The sequence below is a fragment of the Homo sapiens genome, chromosome 3 (genome assembly GCF_000001405.40).
Source record: "Homo sapiens chromosome 3, GRCh38.p14 Primary Assembly".
NCBI lineage: Eukaryota > Metazoa > Chordata > Mammalia > Primates > Hominidae > Homo > Homo sapiens.
In genome coordinates, this window is record NC_000003.12 from 30,670,010 (window position 1) to 30,694,488 (window position 24,479).

At 42.0% G+C, this 24,479-nt stretch overlaps 1 protein-coding gene across 16 annotated transcripts in view; it reads left to right on the plus strand.

Annotated features, from left to right (window-relative positions):
* The window catches only part of TGFBR2 (transforming growth factor beta receptor 2), an 87,787-nt gene extending 63,654 nt beyond the window's left edge, over positions 1–24,133 (plus strand). For 14 of the 16 annotated variants that reach the window (NM_001407129.1, NM_001407132.1, NM_001407136.1 and 11 more), the window contains 4 exons: positions 1,629–2,428; positions 4,096–4,237; positions 18,375–18,502; positions 21,411–24,133. In NM_001407129.1, coding sequence (NP_001394058.1) covers positions 1,629–2,428; positions 4,096–4,237; positions 18,375–18,502; positions 21,411–21,590 — 1,250 coding nt within the window. In that variant the 3' untranslated portion in view covers positions 21,591–24,133. The remainder of the gene's footprint in view (positions 1–1,628; positions 2,429–4,095; positions 4,238–18,374; positions 18,503–21,410) is intronic. The other 2 variants (NM_001407130.1, NM_001407139.1) reach the window with 2 other exon arrangements.

A 24,479-nucleotide genomic window follows, 5' to 3' on the forward strand; every position in this document is an offset into this window, starting at 1 on the left:
GTGAAAACTGACAAATGAATAATCAAAAGATCCTTTTCTGACACGGAGTTTGGTTCCATACCACCTACCCATTTTTTTCCTTTCTATTCCGCAGGTGCAGAGTGGTCAGTATGGGATAATTGCTCTTCCTTAAGTAGATCATATATTCTTTCTCCTTAACATAGCACTCTTTCCACTCATCACTGACTTTTCCCATTCTTCAGAGACCAACTTAAAGGCAGTTTTTTGCTACTGTGCCTTCCATGTTTCTCTAAGCTTTTCCACATTCCACTAATATATAGATTACATTGTACATTTAGCCCCTATCCCAGATGCCATATATTGCTTACTTGTATATATGCCCTAAGTCCTCTACTGGGTACTCTCTGAGGGCAGTGCCATGCCCATCATAGACACTCAGTAGTGATATATTTAATGAATGATTCTAGGATCTGAGCATGAGGCCTGCTCATTAATGGGTACTTTGGAGGGCAGATGGATGACACATAAAGCAATAGAATTCTGCATGTTTGCCCAATGAAAGCAGCCCAGCACAAGCTCCCAGTGAACTAGAGCTGCCTTTTGCTCTCTCCTGTCCACTGTCTGTTTCTATTCATGTCCTTCTTCCAAAAAGGAAAACTATTTCACCAGAGCCAACAAGGCCAGCACATGAAACAAAGTTTGAGGCACAAGATATTATAGTTAGATATCTGGTGCTAAGGACTCTCCTTGTCAGCCCACAGGGGCCTGCTTCAGAATTCCAAGTCAAAAAACTGCAGCATTTCCATTTTTAACTTGTTTTACCTTTGCGGCCATGTTTCCATTGTTGCTATTAAATATTTCAGTTCCATGAAACTACAATTCGTATGCACACTGAAAAGAGGAATGTTGGGTGGATGTAAGATAACTGTCCAAAGAGATCCTTTCCATGGACTCCTCTCCCTGTCACCCATGGGCCCAGGGTAGCCTGAATGCTGATCAGAGCAGAACAAGTTGGAGTTTGAAAAAGAGCAAAGATTTTGGTGCAAACTGTGGCACGCTCTGTGTTTTTACCAGATGTCATACATGCAGATTTTTTGAAGGCAGAAGCTGTGTCATTTTTTTTCATGTTCCCAATGTCCTGAGCTTAGATAACACTCAGTAAATGGTTTGTCTTTTTATTTGGCAATATTGAGGACCTGCTGTGTGCTAAGTGCAGTTTACAGTAGTGAAGAAGACATGGTACCTTCCAGCATGGAGTTCCCTGTCCGTGGGGGATGGCAAGAGTAGGGAAAGACAGATGTGAAATCAAGAGGTAGAGTCATAGTTCATTTAGTTTAAGTTGTACTGAATTGTTACCTAGGAAAAGTATAAGGTGCTATGAAAATGTATAAAATAAGACAGTTTTCCAAGTTTTTCTAGGCCTCTCTTAAGCAGTGACATTTAAGCTGAAGTTTGAAGGAAGAGCAGGGGATGACGAACAGATGGCCAGAGGCAGGGAAGGCTGAACGAGCATGCACTTGCATCCCTGAAATAAAAATTAACAATATCGTATCTACAAAAACTATGCAGATGCTAAAATCTATAGATGCTCAGGCATGAACCCACTTCCTGACAGTACTTACCTACCACATCCAACTCCTTCTCTCCTTGTTTTGTTTCCCCATCAGAATATAACACCAGCAATCCTGACTTGTTGCTAGTCATATTTCAAGTGACAGGCATCAGCCTCCTGCCACCACTGGGAGTTGCCATATCTGTCATCATCATCTTCTACTGCTACCGCGTTAACCGGCAGCAGAAGCTGAGTTCAACCTGGGAAACCGGCAAGACGCGGAAGCTCATGGAGTTCAGCGAGCACTGTGCCATCATCCTGGAAGATGACCGCTCTGACATCAGCTCCACGTGTGCCAACAACATCAACCACAACACAGAGCTGCTGCCCATTGAGCTGGACACCCTGGTGGGGAAAGGTCGCTTTGCTGAGGTCTATAAGGCCAAGCTGAAGCAGAACACTTCAGAGCAGTTTGAGACAGTGGCAGTCAAGATCTTTCCCTATGAGGAGTATGCCTCTTGGAAGACAGAGAAGGACATCTTCTCAGACATCAATCTGAAGCATGAGAACATACTCCAGTTCCTGACGGCTGAGGAGCGGAAGACGGAGTTGGGGAAACAATACTGGCTGATCACCGCCTTCCACGCCAAGGGCAACCTACAGGAGTACCTGACGCGGCATGTCATCAGCTGGGAGGACCTGCGCAAGCTGGGCAGCTCCCTCGCCCGGGGGATTGCTCACCTCCACAGTGATCACACTCCATGTGGGAGGCCCAAGATGCCCATCGTGCACAGGGACCTCAAGAGCTCCAATATCCTCGTGAAGAACGACCTAACCTGCTGCCTGTGTGACTTTGGGCTTTCCCTGCGTCTGGACCCTACTCTGTCTGTGGATGACCTGGCTAACAGTGGGCAGGTAAGTTAGAGCTAGTGCTAGATCCCCTTTACCTTGAGCCTGGCCTCACCCTACCTCTTGATCCATATCTCCTGGCTCTTATCTCAAACAGCCCTGTACTCTGGACACTGGTCTAGGGAATCTAGCCAAAGTATGGAGTCTGCCTTGAGCATACTCTGCTCTGTCCTGCCTGAGCATTTTTGCTAATGGACAGCATTTCTCCTCCTATCTTCAAATCCTTCCCAGTTCAGCACATTTTTTCCTCCTGGATCAATCCTCATTTCTCTTCCAGCAAATGTTTTTTCTTTGTTTCAAGCACTGTTAGTACTTTACCTCTATTTTTTCCCTCTCTTATGGTTGTACTCAGTCCTTTCTGCTCTATACTAGCTGTAGTTGTGTTGGTTTCTTTGTATTAAAAGCATCGTGGAAGGCAATCTCCCTGAAGTCCAAATCTACATCCACATGGTCACCCAAGATATGTAGCACAATGCCTTGAACATTGAAAGTAAAATAAGTACTTGTCGACTGAGTGAGCACTTCCACTCTTGAAGCACTCTCACAGATTAAAATGGAAATGTTTTTGGCTAAGAAACTATTGGAAGGTGATTGGAAATCACCACAACATCCCTTATAAATGATGAGCCCAGTGTTTTCACACAGTGGAGTCCATGGAGAGCAGCACTGTCTTCTTTAGCCAGGTGGCAGGACACACTTTGAAGCACTCGGTTACTGCTCAGTCAGCCCTGTGTCCATGGCAGCGCACGCAGTGTTGAGGTAAACATCGAAATATGGACAGACTAATGTGCCAGAGTAATGAGCCATGCAATGACCTCTTGAGAAGAAAAAAACTCTCTAATACATGCCAATAAGAAACATTCCTTGGAATGATAATATCAACTCACTTGGCTTCCCTAGATCCTTGGGAAGGTAGGACTTTATTGTTATTTAGTCAGTTTATACATACTACAACACTAAATATTTAAGTGAGCCATTCTCTGGAATATTTTTTTCCTTTTTCATATGGATCCGACGTTTGCATATTATCAGTCATAGAGATTAGCACAGGCCTAAAAGTCAAAATAAAACTACATGGCCCACAAGTTAAAATTATAAAGTGATCCAGATTTGGTCTTTTACTGTGAAAATGCTTTTATACAATTTAATTTAGTAGAGATGTTATGCAATTGTACTATATCCTTTGCACACTGGAATGTGCCATGGGATAAACAAAGATTAAGACTCAGTCCTAAAGTGATCAAAACTGATAGCAATTATTATTTTTACCATAAGTCTTGGAGTTTCAGGAATAAAAAAAAATTCAATTTTGGAAAGCAAAAATAAACATTTAAAATATCACAAATATTGTCTCTCAGGTTATCTGTAAGGATGTTATTGAAAAATGTGATGACATAAGTCATGGGGTTAGATAAGGCAGCTCTGGGGTTTGGCACTTCCTTATTTTGGCATGCTTTGTTTATGGTCTTTAGAGGGTTTTCAGGGAGAGAACATCTATTTTAAAAAATAACCATCTATCTGTACCTTTCTGTGCATTTCTCATTCTTTAAAACAGCACTTTGATTTTTTAAAAAAATCCTCTGCACGTGTCAGGGGCCACCATCAGCTATATTGTGAAAATAAAAAGGCAGCTGGAATTAAATGATGGGCCTCACTGTCTGTTTTTGCTATAGGTGGGAACTGCAAGATACATGGCTCCAGAAGTCCTAGAATCCAGGATGAATTTGGAGAATGTTGAGTCCTTCAAGCAGACCGATGTCTACTCCATGGCTCTGGTGCTCTGGGAAATGACATCTCGCTGTAATGCAGTGGGAGGTAGGTGTGGACCAGCATCATTGTGTAGTGGTAAACTTGTCTTCAAAATAAGATCATGTGTTGCTTCGAGCATTATTCCAGGGGTTACAAAGCAGTTATTAGAGCTAGTTGAGATCTGATATTATACAACCATCCCAGAACTATTTGGGGTTATGCTAAACAGCCTAGGTTTTTAAACTGAAAGCCACATTTGGAGCATAAAGCTTTGTATCTCCTTTTATAAACCTTTGTATAATTACTCTTCTCTTGACACATCTCTTCACAGTTATTTAAATATCTGGCAAGAGACGAATACTAATAAATGTATAAGAATTATCTCTAATGATCATGTGGGTAATATTCAGATAAGCATCTGATTTCTTTTACTTTGTGTTTTAAGATTTTTCAGAATTATGTCTGGGAAAAAGATTTGATTCAAAATTTACTTTTATGGACATGACATTGTTTTATTGGGCAAAAAAAAAATCATTGTTTGAGATATTTGTTTAGGTTTTGAAAATTCTAGTGAAGAGGTTATTGAGGAAGGCCGTCTTCTTACTGCTTAAGCCTGCAAGACTGATTAGGAGACCTACTTTTCTCCTGAAAAGCTGGCTTGCTCTTTTTATCCCCAAGTTCAGCCACCTACTGTTTTTTTTTTCTTTTAGGATCATTTTTCCCTGAACACACTGTCATAGCCTCCCAGGTGCCCTCTGCTATGTCTTCTCTGCAGTTGTATGCTGAGTCCTTTTCACTGTTAGAGGCTGTTACTACTATTGACCATGAGACTGTAGATAGAATGGGCAACAAACATCTGGGGTGCCAGGGTGAGGCTATTGTTCTAGGAAGTATTATCCCTTGTTGTCCAGAAGGCAAGAACAGTTGAGGTCTACATTACTATACCCTTTCCTGACTCTCTTCTCAGTACCTTGGAGGACAGATGCATGACACATAAAGCAATAGAATTCTGGCATGCTTGTCCAATGAAAGCAGCCCAACGCAAGCTCTCATTGAACTAGAACTGCCTTTCGCTGTCTCCTGTCCACTATGTGTTTCTATTCATGTCCTTCTTATTTCTTAGGTGAGACAGGGTCTTAGGTCTCACCTGAGAAATCTGTGCACCCAAGTTCATCCTGGTTGGCTGCCAAATGAAGCCAAACTAACTCCACCCTTTTTTTTTTTTTGAGACAGTCTCGCTCTGTCACCCAGGCTGGAGTGCAATGGCGCAATCTCGGCTGACTGCAACCTCTGCCTCCCGGGTTCAAGCAATTCTCCTAGCTCAGCCTCTTGAGTAGCTGAGATTACAGACATGCACCACCACGCTCAGCTAATATTTGTATTTTTAGTAGAGACAGGGTTACACCGTGTTGATCAGGCTGATATCGAACTCTTGACCTCATGATCTGCCCACCTCGGCCTCCCAAAGTGCTGGGATTACAGGCGTGAGCCACTGCACCCAGCCTCCATTCCATGTTTAACTTTTTGTTTTGTGATAATTTTAGACTTAGAAAATAGTTGTAAAAATAGTGGAGTTTCTGTATACTCTTAACTCAACTTTGCCTGTTGTTAATATCTAACCTAAACCATAGTATGGCTATCAAAAACAGCAAATTAACCTGGATTCAGTGTTCTTAATTAATCCATATACGTATTTGTACTTCCAAGTCCCCAGTAATGTTCTTTTCTGAAACAGGATCCAGTCTAGGATCCCGCATTGATCTAATGTGCATGCCTCCTTAGTCTCCTTGACCTTGTGAGAGTTCCTCAGTCGATTTTTGTCTTTTATGACCTTGACACTTGTAAAAAGTTTAAGACAGTTATTTAGACGGTCTCTCACTTTGGGTTTCACTAATGTTTTCTCATGATTAGATTGAGATTACATATTTTGGGCAAAATTACCACAGAAATGATAGTGTGCCTATCTTCAGTGCGTCATATCAGGGGGAATAAGATGTCCATGTGTCTGGTTATTAATGTTAAATTTGGTCCTTTGGTTAAAGTGGGACCTGCTGCTATTTGTCCATTTGTAAGTAATACATGCCTTTGACCTGTTTCTAAAGATACTAAATACCTGTTTAGCAAAGGTACTAGAACTTTCTTATTCATCATTTACCCACTAATTTGATGATCTATGACTAATTCCTGCCTATAACAATTATTACTATAATGTTTACTTAAGGAAGATTTTCTGTTTTTCTTGTTCCTTCTATATTTATTAATATGCATTCTCCTTTAAAAAAGATCTGTCTCTTCTGACACCATCCCCTGTTCTTTGTTTACTAATTATGTATTTATATCAGCAGGGGATTTGGGGTATTTGTTTCATTATATGAGTATCCAGTATTGTCATTATTTATTTTGTTGCTCAGGTTGCCACAGCTTGGGTCACTGGTCCAAACTACCCAACATTTTGCCCAAGGCAGATTCAGTTGGCACCACTGCTGGCTCTGATTCTTCATCCTGTTCAGAATATGCATAGCCAATTCTCCAGCGTGGGTCCGGGTCACCCCCTCCCATCCTGCACCCTGCTGAACCTCACATGTTTTCCTGAGACCCCCGCATGGGGATGGCACTTCCTATCTAGCTGACATAGTTATTATTATCTAGTTTCTTGACTGAGATTTCTTCCCCCAAAACACTTCCAAAAGTTAACTTTGTTTTTCCTTGCACAGTGAAATTTGTTTAACCAAGTTTCAGCCACTGAGAATAATTTTATGCTTGAAAGCTTTGACAGTTCCAAAATGAATCTTTAGCCGGGTATGAGTTGTATCAGAGACAATGCTGTTGTCACTGTCAGAATAAATTTACCTAGATTTCAGTATCATTCCCTATCCTTTCAACTCTGTTATTCTATAAACATGAGCTGGAGATTGTGTCTCTGTCTTTCCCTCTGTCAGTGCAGCCAGCTTATTAAGGCCCTAGGTGAGCTCCCAGCTTTCATTGTTATCACTGACTAAAACCCTTGCCTGTTGATATTTGCTGAGTGTGGAAGAATTTAAGCTAATGAGGAAGGAGTTCACCAAATTTTACAAGGTCTAAAAACAGTTAGAATATAAACAAGTTTTCCCAAGGAAGGAACAGGATATGGTTTATTCAGCTAGTCTCAAAAAACCTTTTATAACCTTAGGATAAGAAGAGACAGCCCTGGGGAACCGGAAAGAGGCCATCCCAGTTCTCATTTCGTTTGATCTTAAGCCCACAGTCCTATTTCTCCCATCTTTGCTCGGGCTGCAGACACCAAGGTTATTTATCCATCCTCACGTTCGTCCTGACACAAAGCCGTTCACTTGATTAAGCGTGTGAACTCACGTAGTAAGCTCCTTCTCCCACCTTGACTTCTTCTTTTAAAAGCATTAGTGGTTTTTGTTTGTTTCTTTTTGGCATGTCTCAAAAACCTTAAAGACAGATTTTCAGCCTAGTCTTAGTTTCAGAGGCTTTTCTTTTACATTCAAAAGGTCCTTTGGAAAGTACACGAAGCCTGAAGACAGATGGATTCCCTCCAACTGCATTCATCTTGATGTTGTCCCTGCTGTAGCTTTTGTAGAAACACAGATGGAAGGACAGGTTTTGACCTCAAGAAGCTTGTAGTCTACAGGAAACAGTTGTTTGTTTCCTCTCCCTTCTTTTTAAAAAACTTACACATGCAGATATGTTTCTTATCTTACAAATTAAATAATGAATCCCCCTGTTTGATGTTAGACTTTAATTTTAAGGTATAAGGAAGAGGGAAGGATGTAAAAGGTCTTTCCTTAAGCTTGAACTTCTGCAGTTTGCAGTATAGCAGATGTAATTACCATTTTTTTAAAATCAGCAGTCTTATTTCAAAAAAGGAAATGTGGAATGTGCTTACCTTTGTATGATGAATCATAGATGGACAGTAAAGGGAACCAGATCTCCAGAGTCATCTTCTCTGTAGGCTCTGAGTCTGTGTGCTTGTGGGATCATGGATCAGGGCCACTTCTGTGACATGAAAGGCTTATGATCTGACCCATCGAGCCAGCTACCAAGCACCTGCAGAGAAGCCTGCTCAAGAGGTATGGTCCTGCCGGGCGCGGTGGCTCACGCCTGTAATCCCAACACTTTGGGAAGCCGAGGCGGGTGGATCATGAGGTCAGGAGATCGAGACCATCCTGGCTAACATGGTGAAACCCCGTCTCTACTAAAAATACAAAAAAATTAGCCGGGCGTGGCAGCAGGCGCCTGTAGTCCCAGCTACTCAGGAGGCTGAGGCCAGAGAATGGTGTGAACCCGGGAGGCAGAGCTTGCAGTGAGCCAAGATCATGCCACTGTTCTCCAGCCTGGGCGACAGAGCAAGACTGCGTCTAAAAAAAAAAAAAAAAAAAAAAGAGGTATGGTCCACCTCAACTGTGTGCAGAAGGATGATGGGATGCAAGTCTCCAGTGAAAACAGCTAATCTACATGACAAGTATAGTGGATCTACCCACTGAAGGAGAGTAAGTGTGGCTGCTTGGATTTCTCGGGATGACTGCCATTGGTAATATGGATATAGCACCCCATCCTGTACTGAGAGAGTCCCTAGTTGTATTGATACTTTTTTAAGCTATGGAACATTAACCTCTCTGTTCCCAGTTGTTAATGAGCTATTGCAGAGGTGACTATTTGTTTTACTTTCTTGGATGTTAACATTACAGTACTCACTACTTGAAGAAAAATGTTCTAAGCAGCAGAAGGTCTAACTGAATGAAGTAGGATACAAGGATTAGGGACAGAAGATTTCACAGAAAACTGTGAAGTCCCACCTAGCCTGCCTTTAAGTGACTCATAAACATGGATATTAAGGCTCCAAGCTCACCTCCACGCCACATTCTCATTCTGTGTTCATCACTTCATCATGATGGATGTCTTTTAGGTCTTACCTCCAGGCTTTGTCTCATGCTATTTACTGGCACTGGAACACTTAACTAGTCTGTTTTTAACAGGCAAGTGTGGTTCAGTTGTGATAAATGCTTAGGAAGGGAAGGCAGTGAGCTCAAAGGACTGAATGCCCAGGTTGGCTACAGGGAGTGCAGTGTTATGGTCAGGGAATGAGACTTAGGTCAGCTCTTAAAGGAAGAGGAAGACTCTGGGGCATCCTTCTGAGTTACTTCTTTACTAGCCAGTCTCCCCTGAATGCAGGGGAGCACAGGGAAAACAGAGAAAGAACAGCACTACACTGGAGAAGCCTCACTTTTATCAGGTGAGAAAACATAAACAGATGATAATAGAGCTCTTCAAAAGCCAGGTGGTACAGCTTCATTTCGCACAAAATTCCACCAGGGGCCTCGGGAGATGTGTTGCAGTTAGGTGAAGAGAGTGGTCAGAGAGAAAGGCTTCTTATTGAAAGTACATTTGGTCCAGATAAAGAAAGCCATAAAGGAATAATTACCACTTCTTAAGCACTTGCTCCACACATCAACTCATTTAATCTACCAAAACTCTTTGAGGCCTGTACTGTTATTAATCCCATTTTACAATAAGAGAACTGAAGGCTCAGGAAGTGCGAAAGTTGTGGAGCCAGGAATCAAAGCCCTGTTGTCTGACTCTGTAGCTCACAGGCCTTAGTATTCCTGGTATACTGCTAGCCTGGCCAATGGAGAACGTATTTAAAATAGTAGCTATGGCCATGTACAGGTACAGGCTCACGCCTGTAATCCCAGCACTTTGGGATGCTGAGGAAGGCAGATCATGAGGTCAGGAGTTTAAGACCAGCCTGGCCAAGATGGTGAAATGCCATCTCTACTAAAAATTAAAATATTAGCCAGGCATGGTGGCGGGTGCCTGTAATCGCAGCTACTCAAGAGGCTGAGGCAGAGAATTGCTTGAACCCGGGAGGCGGAGGTTGCAGTGAGCTGAGATCGTGCCACTGCACTCTAGCCTGGGCGACAGAGCGAGACTCCATCCCCCCCGCCCCCCAAAAAAAATAGTAGCTATGATTCCTATGATCAGTATGGATACGATAGTCAGAGCTACTCTGTGCATCCTGGCAGTAGATATGAAGCCTTCCAGCAGAAGCTGAGGAGACAATCACATGTTTGAGGAACATTCAGTGATGGCCTCACTTCTCTGGGTGAATCCCTGTTAACAGAATCCAAGGCTGTTAATTTGTGTAGCAGGTCACAGTATTGATACCTTAAAATTTGAGATAACTGTTTTATCTTTATTTCCCTAAAGATATATTTATTCATTCATTCACTCAAAAAGTATTTATTGAGTACCTATTGTGTCGCAGGCATTGTTTAAAATGCCAGGGATACAGCAGTTTAAAAAGCAGTGTCTTTCTTTGAGAGACAGGAAGTCTAGTGAAGAGCCAGTATTTTAGGGACAGGTAATGAACAAAGAGATTATGTAATATAATGTTGGAGTTGGGTGGGGTGGGTGGGATGATTTTAGAAAGAAAAATAGACTTGGGGGATAGATAATGAAAGAGGCTGTCATTTCAGACATTTTAATCCTCTGAAAGAATACAAAAGAAAAAAAAAAGAAAACAAATCTTTCAGAATTGTTTGAAGTAAGAACAAGACAAGAGGAGGTGATTGGTGTGTTACTGTTCTACGAAAAAGGAGAAAAAGCTTCATGAAATCGCCATTCAGCAAGGACAGAACTGGAGATGGCTTCTCTTTTACAAAGAAATCTCTGTCCCAGGCTTTCAGTCTGTTTGGTGTTCATACAAGTGTTTGTGTGTTGTGTGGAAGGCGGGTGAAGGCGGGTGAAGGCGGTCCTGTTCAGGGCCCCCTTTGGTGAACACAGCAGGCAAAATACTCTCGTCATCCCCAGCCAAACTGGCCTGCAAGCACACTGACTTCCACATCCCTAGCATTTAGGCCTTTGAATAGAAGCTGACACGTAGCAGCCAGCTGAACAAGTATTTAATGAGGAGCAACACAACTCCAAGAAGGGCTCCTTAGTGTATTGTCAAGTTGCTGCAGCCTTGTGAGATGAAAAAAAAAAAAAAAAAAAAAGTGCAAATGAACCAAAAAGAAAGGGAAGGGGCTGGGGGAAGAAAGAGACAGAAAAAAAGGAGGCGTTGGAGAGACGGCTGAGGAGAGACCAGGATTGAAACGCTTCATTTTCCTGGATTTCAAGGGAGCACAGTCTGGAAAGCAGATATGAAAACTCGGGGGTACTGCTTTGGGGAAAACCATCAACAACTTTGCTGCCCTGTTACATTGGGACTACAGTCAAAACAGCAGCTGTGCACCAGATGCTGACTTTCCGAGGAATACCATTGCTGTCCCAGAGACCTGCCCTCTGAGGGTTGTGGAACTGGGAAGAGACAGGCAAGCGTAGTTTTCTCTTAAGAGCCTTTTGAGACAAATTAAAAGAAGCTGCGAGGGCCGGGCGGTTGCGGGTGGCTTCCATCAGTGAAAAGACTGCAGAGAGAGGTGGCGGGAGGGAGATGGAAGTAAGAGAAAGTCGTTCTCAAGCAGTGAAATAAAGAGGTTTTTTAGAAAAGATGCCGTTTGAGGCACTCAGGGAAATTCTGAGGTGTTCAGCCCCGTCTGTCTGGCTTCAGAAACAGTCTGAGGGTGAGACAAAGACTTGGTTTGATGAACTAATTCTGCTGTGTAGGCATATGTCTTGGGTGGAGTGCCTCCAACCCTGGAACAAGAATTTGAGTACTAGTAGTTTATTTGGGAAGAGATTGCAGGAAATGCCAGTAAGAGAATGAGGAAATGAGTCAGGAAAGGGAAGGAAACCAGTAAAGGATATCTTATCAAGTGGGTTACCACCATGGGCAACTGGAGTATAACTACGAGCAGAACACACACCTCAGTGTCATACCACCTGACTCAAAGGAAGCTGGGTGTTTTATCTTTCCAATTCCCATCAGTTTGCTGGAGGGCTGCTCCAGGCCGAGCTGGGAGGGTTCACTCCAGCCCTTCTGCCTGTTCCTCCTGGAGTTGGGCCAGCCTAACCGGAAGAGCCAGTGCAATGGGGTTGGGAGGTGGCGGTGCAGCTGGCCCTGCAGCATCACACTGAATAATTGTAGGGGGCATATGTGACTATTCTTATTTTGTGGATATAGGAAGTGAGGCACAAACTCTTGGCATCTCTTTTCTAAGTCCTCATATCTACTTTTTAAAGGAGTCAGGGCAAAAACAACAAATAATACTTACAATGCATATTGTTAGCTCTTCCACTTTTGAAGTGCTAAACTCAGTCATACTCTCTAAGCCTTCGCTTTTTCTCTTAGAGGCAATTCCAATTTTTTTTAAAAAGGTGGTTCTTGTTATAGGTTAGCCAGGTGTAACATTTTCTCTGGACTCAGCCCACACACTCCTGAACTTGCTTTTTATGCAGTTCTTCACAAGAGAGAGGCCCAAGGTCAAGCATCATTTGATCAAATGTGCAAAGAGGAACTGCATTAATTCTATTGCCAACTATGCCCCAATCTGATGCCTGTAGCTAAAATGAGATTCTCATCCTTACCTCACCTCCACCACCAGTCACATCTACTTCCCTAAACCCAGAAAGGACAAGTGTTTGGGTTTAATGTGGGTAAATAATACCAGCTAAGGAGAGGGCTGCTCTTTGTAATTGTTTTTTTGCATAGCTGGCTTAGAAATTACAAATAACAACCACCCAGCAGATCCCATAAGGTTCCCCTTCTCAAGGTTGTATGCTGAGGAGGGCCCCATCAAGGCAGGGAGGGACACACTTGTCACATTTGGGAAGGGCATGTTCATACCAGGGACTGCCCCAGCTGTACTTGCTCTGGTTAGGGGAGAAATCTCTGCAATGCTTGGCAGAGATGAGCAAGCATGAAAGCTTCCTAAAAAGGCAAAGGCAAATTTCTTCAGAGTAACAGTAATAAAGTGCACAATTCTAAATGCTCTTCCTGGAATCCAGTGTACTATTTGGGCCTCAGTTTTCTCAACTGTAAAATGAGGATGTTGGATCCCGTCTCTGAAGACCTTTTCAATATTCTTTGTCTGACTCATTTGAAACCCTTAAAATATGTTTAATAACTTGTGCTCTTTTTTCCTGTGTCAAAATGCATCTCACATTCCTTAAGAAGCATTTAGGGCAATGTTGCTCCAAGTGTGGTCTTTGGCAGGTGCTGGTCCTCAAACTCTCTGTTACAGATTTGCAATATAAGGACAGAAACCAAGATGTGTTTTGTGCCTTTAATAGCAGTTTGATGTTGCCACAACACTCAAGTGGGATTCATTTTTCTTGTAATTCATTTCTACTGTATTTTACCAAAGCCTTTATTCCCAATGAATTGAGGGCAAAACATCTGGGCTTTTATAAAAAATTGATTGAGAAGTGCTCATTTGCAAGTAATAAGGGAAAAATTTTAATCACTTTTAATCTCACTATTCCACCTAAGCCACTTTTGTGAAAGAAACAGTGGTTAGGAGTTGGGGAGAGATTTACATTTCTTTATACATATTTGTTTAGTCATTTCATAGTTTTAATCACATGCATTTTCCAAAATAAAAATATTTTAAGCACCATCATGAAAAATAAATAAGATACACAGTTTGGACCCAAAGATTTTGCCAAAGTGGATTAAACATCCCAGTCTCCAGCTGCCTGAAACCCTGGGGAAAAAGTTGGGAGTGTCAAAGGTCTCAGGCCATCAACTTGTTGCCAATCACCAGCTCTGTCCAGTTCCCCAGGACTGCCTGGGCTCTGTTACATGAGGTCTCATCCTAGGAACGACCATTGGTACCCACCTGGCTGGCAGAGGGCTTTCTGCTTTCTAACCTCCTCTCGCAGGGTTCAGGCTATCTCTGGCCACGATCTTCCCTTCTTCTGCTGAGTCAAAGCAAATATCTGAGGCATTCTGAGGGACACTTAGAACTGAGGAGCAATTAAGAAATGCCCTCCAGGAGGGACTGGCCTCCATGTTACATGGTCATCCTACAAGTCCTAATGGAGGCCCTGAGAATGGCATTGCCTTAATGGCCATAGTAGGAAAAATGAGCAATGTTGCCTGATCGCTGCAATTGAATATCAAAGATGTTAACTGAGAGGCACATGTATACACACTGCCAAACATTAAACCATCTTCCTACACATTGCAGGGCATGAGAAAAAAAAAAATGGAGGTTGGGAGTAGGATGTCCAAAATGAGAGAGAAGGGTAAAGAAAGAAGAATTGCAAAAATCCATAATTAGAAAGAAAAAAGCAAACATGCATTTAGCTGTTTTGGAAAATCTATGTTACATAAATAGGACATTTTTCAGAAGTTAAAGAAAGGTCAGCCTAAATCATGCACACACTGCAGATCCCCATCCGTACTCCTAATCTGAAAAACTAATATTAAAGGATTAGAGTATGACAGTTTAGGTCAAATGATGATCCTCCCTCCCCAGACTTGTCTATTTTAAGCTTAGGAGGAGGCAGAAGAGTCATAAATTCTCCCAGTGGGGCACAAGGAGCCAGTCCTTTTGCCAGCACCTTTCAGACTACCCGTGACCTCCCTTCCTTGTGAAATTACCCATAAGTCGAAGATGGGAAGCAGGCCTTGTATCCCTTGGGAATATTAGGGAGTCTCACAACTTTCCAAGATTTTAGGAAAAGTAGGAAGTAACCTATTTATAAGTCTGTTTGTTTTGGGAAGGGATTATTGCCTTTGTCTTCCTTTCTAAAATAGCATTCATTAATTTTTCTTTAAGTAAAAATATGCCCAATGCCATCTTCTCTCATTCCCCATGGAAACTTGCTTTGATCCACAGAGTACCTATAAAAAAAATTACAATAAATTGTGTAGTGTTTGTAACTAGGAAGATTAGGACTTGGAATGAATTGGCTCTGCGTTTATAGTCTCAAGGACAAAGACTTTGTCTTTGTTCTCAAGGACTATCAGCCATGAGATTGACAGCTGGGGTTTATTCTGATCCCAACATTTTCCTCCTCTGATGTTGGTCATGTCCTCCTCTGTCACTTCTGACCATGAGTATAGGGATTGTTGTTGATAGTCAGAGGAGAAAGAACTCTCTGAAATGCTTGGTAGAAAGGAAAAAGCATGAAAGCTTTCTAGAAAGGTAAAGGAGTTTCATCAGAGTAACGGTAATACAATGTGAGATTCAGAATGTTCTTCCTGGTTTAGTAATTTCACCTTCACAAGAAGGGGCTACATCAAGGCTTCCCCAGGGTAGCTTTGCAGCTACAGTCAGATTGTGCAGATTCACTGAGACAAAGGCCTAGGGAGAGAGGAGAAAGCACTTCCTTGGCGGCTGTGTTGGGCCAGCTTTACTAGAAGTGGAGTCTGACACACTTTTGTGCAATGATTTATTGAGGATAAGCTCTCATGAGAAGGAAGTAAGAGAAGCAGGAAGAGGCATGGAAGGAGTTAAGTGAACTTGTATTTCAAGAGAGGTCTAACCTCAGCTTGATCTCACTGGAAGCTCTGGAGAGTGTGAATTGCACCATAGTTACCCACCAAGAGCCAAGAGAATTGGACTGTTAAACTTCAACATTAATTTGTCATCGGCTATACGCTGCCTCTGAGAGTAAGGCGGTCATGTCCACGAATCTCTAGGATAGGCAACTCCCATTGGCCAAGGACAATCCCCCAGAAAAGGGTGAAGGTGTGAGCCCTTATGAGCCAACACCTGTGGCAGCTGTAGGCTGCTGGCCCTAGCTTGGTCAAGGGGACCTTGGCAGGCACCAACTGCAGCTGCTACATAAGCCAAAACAATTGAAGATGGAAGGTCTGTGGACTGTACCTTATCTAAGGAACAATTTATATCATATACAAATCCTATCCTTTACTATTATATGGTAGTACATATATCTCAAGGTATGGTACCAAGGGGGCATCATATTTGATTAGATTGGATTACAAGATAAATCTGAAGAGGAACATGGAGGTAGCTCAGTTCAGTATATTCATTTTATAGAAGAGAAGAAGTACATGAGAGTAAACACTTACTGGGAACCAGATCTGATTCTCAGTTTTCTCTTTTGCTTGAATTCAACCGAACTCATATTTATTAAATTCTTACTACGTATAAGGCACGATTTTAGGCACTGAGCAGATAAGTGAAAGACACCAAATTCAGCCACTGCCTTGTGCCTTAGGCATTTACAGTCTGGTTGAAGATAAGGAATGAAAGAAAAAAATAAGAGTATAAATGCTATGCAAATCACAATTCAGATCTCACCCAAGAGCAATGTGGATTAAATGCTTGGGTCCTTTGAGGCAAAAAGCATGACACACAGGAGGATAGTTTGTGGTTTGTCTTAATGTGATGGGAGGCCTTCATCCCAAATTCCCCTGTATTTAAAACTATAAAAAAGAAAATATCCTGGCAGCTCTACTATTTGGTGAAGCTGAAAAAGATAAATATTCAAGTAGAGTTCTGGAAAAGGGGAAAAAAGCAAATGAACAAAGAACAAAAACAAGCCGTCCCTTTTCAAAATGTCATCTTGCCATGAAAGCTTCTTCAATTCGTTACCTAGAAGTGCAAATGTATTGAAAGTTTTACTCATTAAATAAGATTATTTTGAAGCTAAAGGCCAAAGATCCTACTTACTTTGGAGAACAGTGTTGAATCCAGCCCAATCTCTCCTTTCAGCCCAGGCATGTTTTAGTACTGGGATGTTTTCTATCTTTTTAAGTGTCCTGTGCTCTGTTTACACTATATTAATCTGCTCATTTAAATTGGTGTTTTGTTTTAATGTTTGGCCAGAGTTTATGCACTGCCACTTTGGAGAGAATCTAAGATTCATTCATTCATTCATTCATTCACTCACTCAACAAAGCATTTGTTGACAGCCTGTTGGCATGGGAGACCCTTGCAATTGGCACCAAGAATACAAGAATGAGAAAGGGACTCAACTTGCACCCAAATGCTCACAGTCCAGTTAGGTGAGAAAAATAAGCAGGTGAATATATTAAATAAAATATGGTATATGCACGAATAGAGCCCTGCCCAGGATATCTAACCAAGATTGACCCTAAGGATGTTCAAGGAAGTTTTTATAAAGAATTTGACCTTAGTTGAAGCCTGAGGCCCCGGTGAAGGGTTACCTCCTCCTTTATCATTTTCTTTATTGAATATACCATCAGAGGAAAATTATCGTTTTAAAATTTTGTTGATGTTGTTAATCTGTCCCCTCTGTCTTCCCACTAAAACAGCATTTCTCAACCTTTTTTAAAATCAGTGATATCGTAAGGAGCCTTTTTAAACAACTTTTTTTGTTTGCTTGTTTTGTTTTTTATTTTGTATAGATAGAGGATCTCGCTATGTTGCCCAGGTTGGTCTCAAACTCCCGGAGTCAAGATATCCTCCTTCAGCCTCCTAAAGTGCTGGGATTACACACATGAGCCACAGCACCTGGCCTGTAGACAACTTTTTTTCTAAACACTACTCTCCATGATGTTTTTCTGTAGCAAAATAGGCATAATATAAAATGTACCATCTTAACCATTTTTAAGTGTACAGTTTACTGGCATTAAGTACCTTCGCAGTGCTCTACAACCATCACCATTATTCATTTTTCTGTACTGAAATTTGCTCAACTGAAATTCTTTACCCCTTAAAGGATAACTTTTCGTACCCTTTCCTCCCAGGTTGCCCCCTGGACAACCACCATTATACTGTCTCTGAATATACCTGTACAAGGTACTTCATACAAGTGGAATGATACAATATTTGTCCTTTTGTGTCTGGCTTATTTCACTTAGCATAATGTCTTCAAGATTCATCCATGTTGTAGCATGTGCCAGAGTTTCATTCCTTTTTATGCCTCAATACCTACATGAAATTTAATACCACATTTTAAATCTCTTTGTATACTCTGGGCCTTTGGAGGCTCACAAACCATTGTAATACATAAGATTTTTCCACTTCCCAAGAACCAGTTTCACCCTTTTGCTGCAATATCCCCCTGTAGAAAATGCCTGTGTTAAAACCTAAGCTCCGTGACCCTCTCTATCTTGTTGTCCACTGTGTCCCCCAGCGTAACACCTAGCACATTTTAAGTACTCAACAATCATTTATTGAATACTTCTCTAGCCCTTCCCCAACCACTCCTTCCTTCTTATCTTAGCCATTATTATTAAAATTTGCTCTTAGAGTAATTACGTATGTATTTGTTACTTAGTGCTTCATGCTCCCCAGCCAGGCATCTCACCATGCTCATTTCCTTTGGCTGCACATGCCATTCTCAGTGACCCTGTGTTTGCTGGCTTTCTTCACAGAAGTAAAAGATTATGAGCCTCCATTTGGTTCCAAGGTGCGGGAGCACCCCTGTGTCGAAAGCATGAAGGACAACGTGTTGAGAGATCGAGGGCGACCAGAAATTCCCAGCTTCTGGCTCAACCACCAGGTAAGGAGTGAGTGTTTACAAAGGTCAGTAAGATTCAACCAAGTTGCCTCTTAGGTGGCAGAGAATTCTGGAATATTGAGCTTAAATCTGAGGGAAGGTCCCATTGTGTTCTATGGCCCTGTTAAATTTTGTTTATAAAGCAAATTTCAATACAGTGGATAACCCAATTATTATAGGCTCCAACCAGCTGATATGTACTCTGAGAGTTCACAAATAGCCATTCGGAGGACATTTGCCACATTTTCCAAGCCCCCTTGGTCCTGGGTTAAAACATTTTGTTTGCAGCCTCTGCTACTTACTCCTGGGCCTTCACGTCAGGAGTTTATATTTGATTCCCTCTGGATTCCAAATGTTTTCTTCTGGGAATCTTCAGCTCCATAAGGAAATACTTAGCAGATGCAAAACAAGCAGGGTTTGTCAGGCAGCTGTAGTGAGAAGTGACTGTGGCATGCAGAAGGCTGTGTACAGGTGTTTGCAGGCTGTGCTCACAGACTTGGGAGAGGCCTGAGTGAGCACGCGTGGGAAAGAGGAGACCGACTCCTCACTCTGGAATTAAGGAAAGCAAAGAAGAGGAGAATGCCCTGGAAGGAACGAGAAATCTGTCTGTTGGGAACATCCTAATGGCCTCTTATTTTTCCTTGTTAAGAAATGCTAGCTAAGGCTGTCCATAGCAGGGCAGTCATTCTGGACTCATAAAGAGGCTGATCCAAATTGTTTGTTTGGGGGCACTTTGATGAGGGCAATGGTCAGAGAAAAAAGAAAACGATAGGTTGTGAGTGAGTCAGAACCAGCTATATGTCTGACACACCCAGGAAGGAGCCCTTAGTGAAGAATGAGAGAGAACAGTGTGGCCCTATCTCACTGAGAAGACTGTTCTTTCTACTGACTAAAACCTTTTATTGCCTCTTTTGGATGAATTCCCTCAACCATGAAGGCCGAGGCTAAGTTGTTGGTTTCCCTAAGGGCAAGGCAAATTCAGATAAGAAACAGAAACAACAAATCAGGCACAATCGGGAAGACAAATGGAGCAGGAAGTCTGGTCTGTGCCAGTCCTGGCCCAGAGCCACTTCAGCAGACAGACCTTAATAAAGTCCGAGGAGGTTGGCGAGGGGGAACCAGGCTGTGGTGGGTCACAGGCTTCTCTGGAGTTTTGAGCAAATCCTCTTTGACACTAAAACTGTAAGAATATTTTGCATAAATTCTGAAATCAGAATGTGCTGGAGTGTTATGTTTCTTTCAAACTCTGTTGCCTCCTCTGCTGTATAGTTCTCGTAATGATGCCATTATTCATGATGATAAAATTCTGAAAAGAATTTGCATAATACATTTTTTCTCATAATGAGATTTGTTGCCCTATTGATTTCAAGTTAATGCTTAATATTTAATTTAATTTACTGCCTGTAATTACAGTGCCAGAATAAAATAAATGTTACTTGTGTACCAACAATAGCACTCTACTCTTAACAGGGCCATCTGTCAATACTGTCAATTAGGTGAATTATGCAATTAATTTAACATCATGAACTCATCGGGTGGGGAGGGAGAGATAGGCTCCTAGGTGTGTTTGGAAAGTTGTTGGTATTAGAAAACAAGTAGAAAAAGTGCCAGCTCTCCCAGGTAGTTTTGAGATTTATCCATCCCACTCCCAGCCACCTGTGTGAGGGATCCCATTAGCAATGTTGATCTTACAATTGGGAGGAGCACACTCTATTTCCACCTATCAGACCATTTACTTAACTCCTGCCTGCTTTATTTCCAAAAAGGATTTGAAATGATAACAAAAATATTTGCAATGCAAAATAAAAATTAAGCCAGTGAGAGAAAACTCTTGCCACCTTCCTGGGCAGGATCTCCTGGATGGTCTCCTTGGATGGGAGCTTGATTCGGTTAGGGTGAACCCTAGGAAATGGCATAGAGTTAAGCATGCCTGACCCACATAGGCAGCTGTTTCACAGGGTTCAACCCAATGTTGTTGGAGAGGAATGGAGCATCCCAGAGGTCATCCTTGGCAGCTCGTAGAAGCTGCTACTGAATCACTCTACAAAATGTGTGGCCTATAGAAAATGAAACCATGCTAATGCCTGCATACAATTCTGACGGGGGTAATCAGCCCTGTTAAAATAGAACAGTGTATATGACCCAACTATATGACACTCTGGAAAAGGCAAAAACTACAGAGACAGTACAAAATCAGTGGCTGCCAGAAATTTAGGGGAATGGAGGGAGGGATGAATAAGTGGAATGCAGGGAATTTGAGGGGCAGAGAAACTATTCCGCATGATACTATAATGGTAGATACATGTCATTATACATTTGTCAAAACCCCTGGAATATACAACACCAAGAGTGAACCCTAATGTAAACTATGAATTTGATTGATAATGATACGTCAGTGTTAGTTCATCAGTTATAACAAATGTACCTCATAGATGCATGCATGATGTCAAGGTGGAGAAGGCTGTGCCTTTATGGGGAAGGGGTTTTGTGAAAACTCTCTGTACTTTCCACTCAATTTTGCTGTGAAGCGAGAACTTCTCTAAATAGAAAGGTGTTGAAATGATATTAAGGGCCACTACATGGGGAATTTTCAGGTGTTGGGAGTGTTAGTGTACCCCAGAAGCCCAGCAGAGGATCATTGTGCTGTCAGGACCTATTGTGATCAGATAGCACCAGAGCCAAAAAGTATGGTAGGTTTTGAGCACAGCTGCCACCAGCACAAACCCCCCACCACCCTTTCCACATGGAACTGGCTGGCCTGCAGCAGCAGGCACTCAGTCAGCACATGTTAAATGCACAGGCACTTTTGGACCCTGCTTGCACTCACTATAGCAACAAGGTCAGCAGGCCACCTTGCCTTCCGCGGAGCCCACCAACTCATGGTGCCCTTTGGATCTCTTTCCCGCTACAGGGCATCCAGATGGTGTGTGAGACGTTGACTGAGTGCTGGGACCACGACCCAGAGGCCCGTCTCACAGCCCAGTGTGTGGCAGAACGCTTCAGTGAGCTGGAGCATCTGGACAGGCTCTCGGGGAGGAGCTGCTCGGAGGAGAAGATTCCTGAAGACGGCTCCCTAAACACTACCAAATAGCTCTTCTGGGGCAGGCTGGGCCATGTCCAAAGAGGCTGCCCCTCTCACCAAAGAACAGAGGCAGCAGGAAGCTGCCCCTGAACTGATGCTTCCTGGAAAACCAAGGGGGTCACTCCCCTCCCTGTAAGCTGTGGGGATAAGCAGAAACAACAGCAGCAGGGAGTGGGTGACATAGAGCATTCTATGCCTTTGACATTGTCATAGGATAAGCTGTGTTAGCACTTCCTCAGGAAATGAGATTGATTTTTACAATAGCCAATAACATTTGCACTTTATTAATGCCTGTATATAAATATGAATAGCTATGTTTTATATATATATATATATATCTATATATGTCTATAGCTCTATATATATAGCCATACCTTGAAAAGAGACAAGGAAAAACATCAAATATTCCCAGGAAATTGGTTTTATTGGAGAACTCCAGAACCAAGCAGAGAAGGAAGGGACCCATGACAGCATTAGCATTTGACAATCACACATGCAGTGGTTCTCTGACTGTAAAACAGTGAACTTTGCATGAGGAAAGAGGCTCCATGTCTCACAGCCAGCTATGACCACATTGCACTTGCTTTTGCAAAATAATCATTCCCTGCCTAGCACTTCTCTTCTGGCCATGGAACTAAGTACAGTGGCACTGTTTGAGGACCAGTGTTCCCGGGGTTCCTGTGTGCCCTTATTTCTCCTGGACTTTTCATTTAAGCTCCAAGCCCCAAATCTGGGGGGCTAGTTTAGAAACTCTCCCTCAACCTAGTTTAGAAACTCTACCCCATCTTTAATACCTTGAATGTTTTGAACCCCACTTTTTACCTTCATGGGTTGCAGAAAAATCAGAACAGATGTCCCCATCCATGCGATTGCCCCACCATCTACTAATGAAAAATTGTTCTTTTTTTCATCTTTCCCCTGCACTTATGTTACTATTCTCTGCTCCCAGCCTTCATCCTTTTCTAAAAAGGAGCAAATTCTCACTCTAGGCTTTATCGTGTTTACTTTTTCATTACACTTGACTTGATTTTCTAGTTTTCTATACAAACACCAATGGGTTCCATCTTTCTGGGCTCCTGATTGCTCAAGCACAGTTTGGCCTGATGAAGAGGATTTCAACTACACAATACTATCATTGTCAGGACTATGACCTCAGGCACTCTAAACATATGTTTTGTTTGGTCAGCACAGCGTTTCAAAAAGTGAAGCCACTTTATAAATATTTGGAGATTTTGCAGGAAAATCTGGATCCCCAGGTAAGGATAGCAGATGGTTTTCAGTTATCTCCAGTCCACGTTCACAAAATGTGAAGGTGTGGAGACACTTACAAAGCTGCCTCACTTCTCACTGTAAACATTAGCTCTTTCCACTGCCTACCTGGACCCCAGTCTAGGAATTAAATCTGCACCTAACCAAGGTCCCTTGTAAGAAATGTCCATTCAAGCAGTCATTCTCTGGGTATATAATATGATTTTGACTACCTTATCTGGTGTTAAGATTTGAAGTTGGCCTTTTATTGGACTAAAGGGGAACTCCTTTAAGGGTCTCAGTTAGCCCAAGTTTCTTTTGCTTATATGTTAATAGTTTTACCCTCTGCATTGGAGAGAGGAGTGCTTTACTCCAAGAAGCTTTCCTCATGGTTACCGTTCTCTCCATCATGCCAGCCTTCTCAACCTTTGCAGAAATTACTAGAGAGGATTTGAATGTGGGACACAAAGGTCCCATTTGCAGTTAGAAAATTTGTGTCCACAAGGACAAGAACAAAGTATGAGCTTTAAAACTCCATAGGAAACTTGTTAATCAACAAAGAAGTGTTAATGCTGCAAGTAATCTCTTTTTTAAAACTTTTTGAAGCTACTTATTTTCAGCCAAATAGGAATATTAGAGAGGGACTGGTAGTGAGAATATCAGCTCTGTTTGGATGGTGGAAGGTCTCATTTTATTGAGATTTTTAAGATACATGCAAAGGTTTGGAAATAGAACCTCTAGGCACCCTCCTCAGTGTGGGTGGGCTGAGAGTTAAAGACAGTGTGGCTGCAGTAGCATAGAGGCGCCTAGAAATTCCACTTGCACCGTAGGGCATGCTGATACCATCCCAATAGCTGTTGCCCATTGACCTCTAGTGGTGAGTTTCTAGAATACTGGTCCATTCATGAGATATTCAAGATTCAAGAGTATTCTCACTTCTGGGTTATCAGCATAAACTGGAATGTAGTGTCAGAGGATACTGTGGCTTGTTTTGTTTATGTTTTTTTTTCTTATTCAAGAAAAAAGACCAAGGAATAACATTCTGTAGTTCCTAAAAATACTGACTTTTTTCACTACTATACATAAAGGGAAAGTTTTATTCTTTTATGGAACACTTCAGCTGTACTCATGTATTAAAATAGGAATGTGAATGCTATATACTCTTTTTATATCAAAAGTCTCAAGCACTTATTTTTATTCTATGCATTGTTTGTCTTTTACATAAATAAAATGTTTATTAGATTGAATAAAGCAAAATACTCAGGTGAGCATCCTGCCTCCTGTTCCCATTCCTAGTAGCTAAATCCATTTGCCTCATTTGGTTATTTTGCAATTTATGCAGAAAACGTCACCAAGTAAATAATCTCCAACTTTTTCATACTGTCTTTCTCAACTGACAGTCTCACAGTCCTTAAAAAAAAAAAAAAAAAAAAAAAAAAGTCACAGAAGCTCAGTAATATGAGATGAAGCAGATGCTGCTCATGGCCTGCCTGCCATGCTGGCGTCCTGGCATGATGTCCCTCTGAATGCCCAGAAGACCTCTTCCCACAGTCTCAGGAGCTGCCTCTATCCACATGGCTGTTTCTTGCAGGGATTTTCACAGCCAGTGTTTCTACCGCTTCTTCTATTTTCTCTATTCCTCATACTAGC